Source organism: Homo sapiens, chromosome 11 (assembly GCF_000001405.40).
Source record: "Homo sapiens chromosome 11, GRCh38.p14 Primary Assembly".
Classification (NCBI taxonomy): Eukaryota; Metazoa; Chordata; class Mammalia; order Primates; family Hominidae; genus Homo; species Homo sapiens.
In genome coordinates this window covers 48261141-48268574 of record NC_000011.10, presented here as the reverse complement: position 1 = coordinate 48268574, position 7434 = coordinate 48261141, and the positions used below count along the sequence as shown (strand labels likewise).

At 41.9% G+C, this 7434-nt stretch overlaps 1 protein-coding gene across 1 annotated transcript; it reads right to left on the bottom strand.

The window, feature by feature from the left end:
• Positions 1-3796: 3796 nt before the first annotated feature.
• OR4X1 (olfactory receptor family 4 subfamily X member 1) lies at positions 3797-4714 on the bottom strand. Its single transcript, NM_001004726.1, has one exon. It carries the CDS (start codon positions 4712-4714, stop codon positions 3797-3799), a length of 918 nt encoding a protein of 305 aa, NP_001004726.1.
• Positions 4715-7434: the final 2720 nt, after the last annotated feature.

The following is a 7434-nucleotide window of genomic DNA, read 5'->3' as shown; positions in this document are numbered from 1 at the left end:
AATCTGGGTGGATCACTTGAGCTCAGGAGTTCTAGACCAGCTTGGCCAACATGGTGAAACCCTGTCTCTACCAAACTTACAAAAATTAGCCAGGCGCGGTGGTGTACCTCCGTAGTCCCAGCTACTTGGGAGGCTGCAGCACAACAATCGCTTGAATCTGGGAGGCAAAGGTTACAGTGAGCCAAGATCATGCCACTGCACTCCAGCCTGGGCGACAGGGCAAGACTCTGTCTCAAAAATAAAATAAAATAAAATAAAATAAAATAAAATAAAATAAAATAAGTTGTGGTGGCTCACGCCTGTAATCCCAGCAATTTGGGAGGCCAAGGTGAGTGGATCACATGAGGTCAGGAGTTCGAGACCAGCCTGGCCAACATGGTGAAACCCCATCTCTACTAAAAATACAAAATTAGCCGGGCATGGTGGCGCACCCCTGTAATCCCACCTACTCAGTAGGCTGAGGCAGGAGAATCACTTGAACCTGGGAGGTGGAGGTTGCAGTAAGCCGAGATCCTACCACTGCATTCCAGCCTGGGGACAAGAGCAAAATCTCTGTCTCGAAAAATAAAATAAAATAAAATAAATAATAAATAATAATAATATAATTTCCACTCAAGTTTTCTTGACATTACATATAGATAAAGCGCAGAACTTTTAGTTCTTTGCAAATCACAAATTTTTCAAAAATATATATATGAAAACTCTAAATGCTATGAGTCTCATGGCAAAGAGATTCAGTCTGCAAACATAATGGAAAATGCAATTTGGGTGTGGCATCACCCCAAGAAGTGAGGCCATTTCAGAGCTGGCTGGGTCAGCGTATCATGTTCAAGGGCATTCACCTGCATTGGATATGCTGCATTTTCTGAGGCATGCCTTAACTGTCATTGAGGAGGTTCTTGCCTGACTCTCTGGCACTGGAACTTTGGAAGAAGGCTTGATTCTGCTTCCCTTTTTGGAAATAGAGGTCATTTCCTAACGTCTGCCCCTCTATAACCAACCCACAGAAGACTTGGCTATGACCAATCAAAATTAAAAGTATAAGCATGCTATGTTATAGTGATTTTTAAGCTTTTTTAAGGTTTTGAGTATTTTTTATCAAAGTAAATCTTATATAAAACAGATTTTTTTAAGGTAATCAGCTGCTGATTACCCATTCATATGTCTCCTGTCCTTTCCTGCTCTGCTTTTACCCCAGTCCCTCAGATACCTGCAGAATTCTGGACACTGAATCCTACATAGTTCACAAACAACTGGTGTAGAAGAAACATTGAGGGTTTAGAAACAGTCCTTGACCTGCAGTTTCCCCACCTGCAAAATGAATCGCACCACCAATGGGACAGCGCAGTCCTGATAATTAAATGTTAGGAAACTTAATTGGCGGATGCATAATTCATATTAATCTTTTGCCTCTTATTTCCCATTTTCTGATTTCTATGATATTCTGAAGAATGCTGCCTTTCCAGCATTATGTCACTAGAAAAAAAAGCAATCTTGGCTGTGTGTGGTGTCTCACACCTGTAATCCCATCACTTTGGAAGGCCAAGGTGGGTGGATCACCTGGCATCAGGATTTCAAGACCAGCCTGGCTAACATAGTGAAACCCCGTTTCTACTAAAAATACAAAAAAATTAGCTGGGCATGGTGGTGCGCACCTGTAATCCCAGCTACTCAGGAGGCTGAGGCAGGAGAATCGCTTGAACCCCAGAGGCAGAGGTTGCAGTGAGCCAAGATCGTGCCATTGCACTCCAGTTTGAACAATAAGAATGAAACTCTGTCTCAAAAAAAAAAAAAAAAAAAACTTGTCTTGGCCAGCTCATTGAGTTTTGATGTCAGGCCTTAGGCCACTCTTCACCCAAAAAATCTGTAGAAACATAAAATTACCTGAGCAACATATGACCCACCCTAACCCAGTCAATGCCCAGGTTTTTTCCTCCTGAGGACCAAGGAGCCTCACCTGCAGAAGCATCATAGCCCCTGCTTTCCTTCCCTCTACTTCCAGATCCAGTATCCTGGCCACTGGATCTCTGTGGACCCAGAAATACCTGTGAACACCCAAAAAGCATTTCAGGTTTATATTTTTTAAAACACTTTTTATTTAATCTGAAGTAATTCCAGAGGGAATTACCTGACAATAGGATATTCTCAGCCCTCAGATTTGAAATTCAGAGACTTACATATACTTATGTGTGGTGACATTTAAAGAGAAGCAGAGAAGAGCATGGGCTGAGAAATCAGACACAGCTAGGTTTGAATTCAGGCTTCATGGGTTACTAACCGGTGACCTTGATCAAGACACCTGCCTCCCCAATCTCCAATCTCTTCTTCTGTACTCATACCCACTTCACCAGTGTGTTTTAGAATCAAGTTAGATAAATCATTAAATCTCTTAGTTCATTGTAAAAAATACAAATACATATATGCTCCTTATTTATATATAAATGATATTCTCAGAAACAATATCAGGAAGGATTACTGGTTTGTCTTGAGTGATGTGACTGATATATTACTTAGATTATTTACATGAAATGAGAGATATAACAACCATTGTCCACCTACAATCTGAAGTGCTAATGACATCCAGAAATTTAATTGACCAAATATTTATTGTTTTGCTATTTAGAGATACACAGATGAATAAAATTCAAGCCACATTCTCAAAGGAGTCACAGTCTACTGGGGAGAAATAAACTTTGAAATAAAGGTAGTAACAGCCCTAAAGGATTCCCACTGAGTGCTGTGAGAATTCAAAGAAAGAAAATGACATACCCAGATAAGATAAACATGGGGGCTTCCTAAAGATAGGAGAATTTCAGATGGGCCATGGAGGGTAGGTAGGATGTTAATAGGTAGAGATAAGGAAAATATTATAGGTGGAGGGCACAAGGAGATGTTCAGAAAACAGTATGCTCTAATAGTGTAATTGAAAAATGAAAATCTAACATTATGAGAAGGTCATGACTTGAGGGTATTTCATATCAAGTAGGAATTTATAGTTGATTCAGAAGGCAATGGGGAGTCATTGAAGATTTTTGAGGAGGAGAGTGATGAAATCAGAGAACTGCTTGAAGGTGATGAGTCTGAAAGCATGTGGAAGAAAATTTATCTGATGGCAGTGAGGGGCAGGATTAGGGTTAGGGTTCTGGGCACATTCTTATAGTCTGGTGGCTACTGGAATAAGACTCAAAGAAGAAGGTTAAAATATGGGACAGCAGTGCCTTCAATTTGCTTAAAATTTCCCTGTTGTTCTTTTGGATTCTTGAGAACCCTGAGTCTAATGCTAGCATGAGCTCATGTGAATCTCTTGACAAGAGTCAACGTCTTCCATTCTCAGGACTAACCCTTCTCAGTCAGCTTGCCTGCTTAAAACCCTCTCAGCAAAACCTCAGTATGTCAAGTCAAGAGACTTTCCAATCATGCAAATGTTCAAACTGATAGGACATAATGACCAGTGCTCCCTGAAACAGTCATTCTCAATCCTCACCTCCCTCTTCACCATTCCCAGACTGACCTGGTTTTCTGGAAGAGTTTATTCTCTTTAGACCAACCAATATATCTCAAAGCCACTGTCAGATTTGGAAGCACAGCACTAGAAGACCCCTCTTACTCCATCCTAGAGCTCCCTTTAATCTTGTCCAATCCCATAAGATGAGGAAACTGAAACTTCAAAAAAGGTGACTGGCCCAAGGCCACTCACTCCATTGGGCAAGGTAGATGCAGAGTGAGATCTTACATGCCCCAATTTCCCATCCCTTACTCCTCCTATTTTCCCTAACTAAATCATCTACTTCTCTTCTCAAATTACTTTTCCCCCAATAAATCTCCTCATGGCATTTTTCACTTCAGCATTCCTGAAGGAGTAAATCACAGGGTTTAAGAGAGGTGTGACCACTGTATAAAATACAGCAACTATCTTGTCTGCAGGGAGGGTGACACAGGGCCTAATATAGACCAAGGAGCAAGGTATGAAGAACAGGTCGACAACTGTGACATGAGAGGCACAGGTGGAGAGGGCCTTGTGCTGCCCCTCCAAGTTGTGGCTTCTCAGGAAGTGCAGGATGATCAGGTAGGAAGCCATCAGCACGAAGAAACTGACTACGGAGATGGAGCCGCCATTGGTGATGATCAGCAGGCTAATGAAGAAGGTGTCTGCGCAGGCCAGCTCCAGCACTGGGTGGACATCACAGAAGTAGTGGTCCATGATGTTGGGGCCACAGAACGGGAGCTGGAAAATCAGGAAGGTTTGCCCAACAGAATGCAGCAGGCCCCCGCCCCATGCTATCCTCACGAGGAGACCACACATTCGCTGGTTCATGATGGCCATGTAGTGCAAGGGCTTGCAGATGGCCACATAGCGGTCATAGGCCATCACCATCAGGAGAAAGGCCTCAGTGCCACCAAAGAAATGGAGGGAAAACATCTGTGTGAGGCAGCCCTTGAGAGAAATGACTTTCCTCTTGATAAAGGAGTCAAAGATAAGCTTGGGGGCCATGACAGAACAGTAGCAGATCTCCACAAAGGATAAGTAGCTGAGAAAGAAATACATGGGGGAGGTGAGCACTTTGCTGGCCAGGATGGTCACCACAATGAGGCCATTGCCCAGCACAACAGCTGTGTACATGAGGAGAAACATCACAGAAATGACCCTCTGCTCACTCCAATTCTGGGAAAATCCCACGAAAATTATTTCAGTCACATTGTTTGTAGCAACCATATTTTAAAGCACAGGAGCTGACAGCCTGGAATCACAGAAATCAAAGAACTCTCCTCAATCATTAGAAACATCCTTCCCAGGCCTGAGGACTATCATCATCCTGCTCCCTCTTGAGTTTGTTCTCTCCCTTGGTTTTCCCCAAAACATGTTCTGAGACAAGTGAACAAAACAGCAAATATCAGCTGCTTGATGTTATTCCCAACATAAGCCTCGATTTTGTAGTGTTGCGGCCTTGAAGTGTTTTTGCTGATCTAGCACATGCTGATTGAATGCTCACAAGAAAAATCAGAGGACATTTTATAGATAAGAAAAAAACTGAGACTCAGAGAGGTCCAGCCACTTGCCCAAAGCCACACAGCTCTTATTTGAGCCCAGATCTGTGTTTCTCAAAATGTACATGCTTCCACTACATCTCCTATGCCTAAAGAGTGCCTGATGTCTACATCTGCTTGTGCAGACTTGTCATGTCCCAGGGTTCTGATTAAAGGGTCCCAGGGTTAAGCACATCAACAAGCCCTCAGAACAGTCAGCTACATTATAAAATGGGACTGAATATGCTAAGTGACATACTAAGTCACAGAAATAAAAATATTGTGTAAGTCCACTTATACAGCACCTAGAGTACCTAGAATAGTCAAATTCATAGAGACAGAAAGTAGAATGGTGGCCGCCAGGGACTGCAGGGGGAGGAAGAATATGGAGTTAGTGTTTCATGGTAGTTTCAGTTTGGGGCAATGAAAGGTGTTCTAGAGATGAAAGGTGGTGATGGCTGCACAATTATGTGAATGTATTTTAATGTTACTCAGCTATACACTTAAAAATTGTTAAGATGGTAAATCCTGTTGTGTATTTTACCCCAATTTAACTAACTAATTATTGAAATGCCTTCTGACTTGTTACTGCCTCATAAATTTCCCCTTCTCCATACCTTCCTCCAAGAACAGTGGTTGAGGCTTTGTGATTTTCCTTTCCTCTTCTCAGTTTCTTTCTTATGCCTATTAGGGAACCTGGTTAGCTTCACAGATTTGAGGTTGGGGTTGAGAAATGTTAGCACTCGGTGTAGAAAACTCATTCCACGTGATAGTATAAGGCAAGATTGATATGATGAACCACTATAAGGTACTCTGCAGAAGTGAGTGATGTGGTAGAAGCATGTACATCTCGAAAATACAGACCTTGGTCCAAAGAAGAGTTGTGTGGCCTGGGACAAGTGATGAAACCTCTCTGAGCCTCAGTTTCCTGATCTATAAAACAGCCATAATGCCATCCCCTCGTTGTTGTGCCCTCCCTTTAGCTCCCCACCATGCTCCTCTGTGTACCCAGCTGATCCTTCTGCCATATACCAATCTTTCACACACAGGATGTTTATGCAGAAGGCAGGAATCTTACATGGGGAGGTTTCATCCTCACGGAAACAATGACTCTATCACTAGGTGAGTATTTTCTGTGAAATTTAGCTTGAAAGCAAATGTTCTATAATTACTTCTGGTTTGGAGTGTCAATGAGAGGTCCCCTCAAAGGATTTGTAAGGACCACTTTAGTCTTCTGATTTTAAAAGATTCATTGTTGTATTTTTAGTCCAAGCGTATTGAAGGTTAACAGAACAAGATGTATTTACAATATAATCATCAAATTGTCTCAAAAAGCTACAAATTGAGTGGATTTAGAGTAGAATTTTTAAAAGGAAATTAACATGTATTAAGCCTCTGCACGGAAAAGAAATACCTTTGAGAGATAATTTCATAAAGAGGTCAATAGATGTGTAAACCACTGACAGTGTTAGTGACATTTTGCCTGCGATGTCTAAAATACTTTAATACTGACTTTGTAATTGGCAGGGCCAAAAGAAGAGAACCTGAAACATAAATCTGTGTTCTAATCAGACAGCACATTAAATGGACATTTCCGGGGTTCACAGTTAAGGAAACCTAAAATGGGGATGCACACAGAATCTCAAAGAAGGCCTAACCTCAGTAAACAACTTCTGTGAAAATTTCTAAATATTTAAAATGAAACCAGTCCCTACTTTGTGGTTTCTTATTTCACTTTTCCTGTCATAGAACCTCATGTACTATGAGGTTTTGAAAAATAAGATTGGTCAGACTGGTCTTTTCGAACATTCTTCTCTCCAAAGATATCCTATCACAGAGAAGTCAGATGCAGAGGCCTCTCTCCTTCCTAGTTTCCTATACAGAGTAATCATAAGCTGTCAAATTTGTAAGGGGGCTCATGGATTCTTCATGTCACAGAAGAGGAATCTGGGGCCCAAAGTCACATACAGCTGGTTGGTGCAGAGCCTGAACTAGAACTAGGTGTCTCAGCTTCCCATTCAATGCTTGCTTTATAGATCATCAAATCCATTGAGTCTTCCACCTGGTGCTCACCCAAATCCAGCTTCCAGAATGCAGCAATAACAGGGACAGGGAAGAGAATTGTGTTTACAACAAAGGCCAAGCCAAGTGGAAGAGTAAAATCTTTTCTTTTCATTATTATACTTTAAGTTTTAGGGTACATGTGCACAACTTGCAGGTTTGTTACATATGTATACCTGTGCCATGTTGGTGTGCTGCACCCATTAACTCATCATTTAACATTAGGTATAACGCTGTCCCTCCCCTCTCCTCCCACCCCACAACAGGTCCCAGTGTGTGATGTTCCCCTTCCTGTGTCCATGTGTTCTCATTGCTCAATTCCCACCTATGAGTGAGAACATGCGGTGT

What these genes read in the sequence shown, in the direction of transcription:
- OR4X1 (NM_001004726.1), bottom strand. Translation starts at nt 4,714, where the DNA reads ATGGTTGCTACAAACAATGTGACTGAAATAATTTTCGTGGGATTTTCC.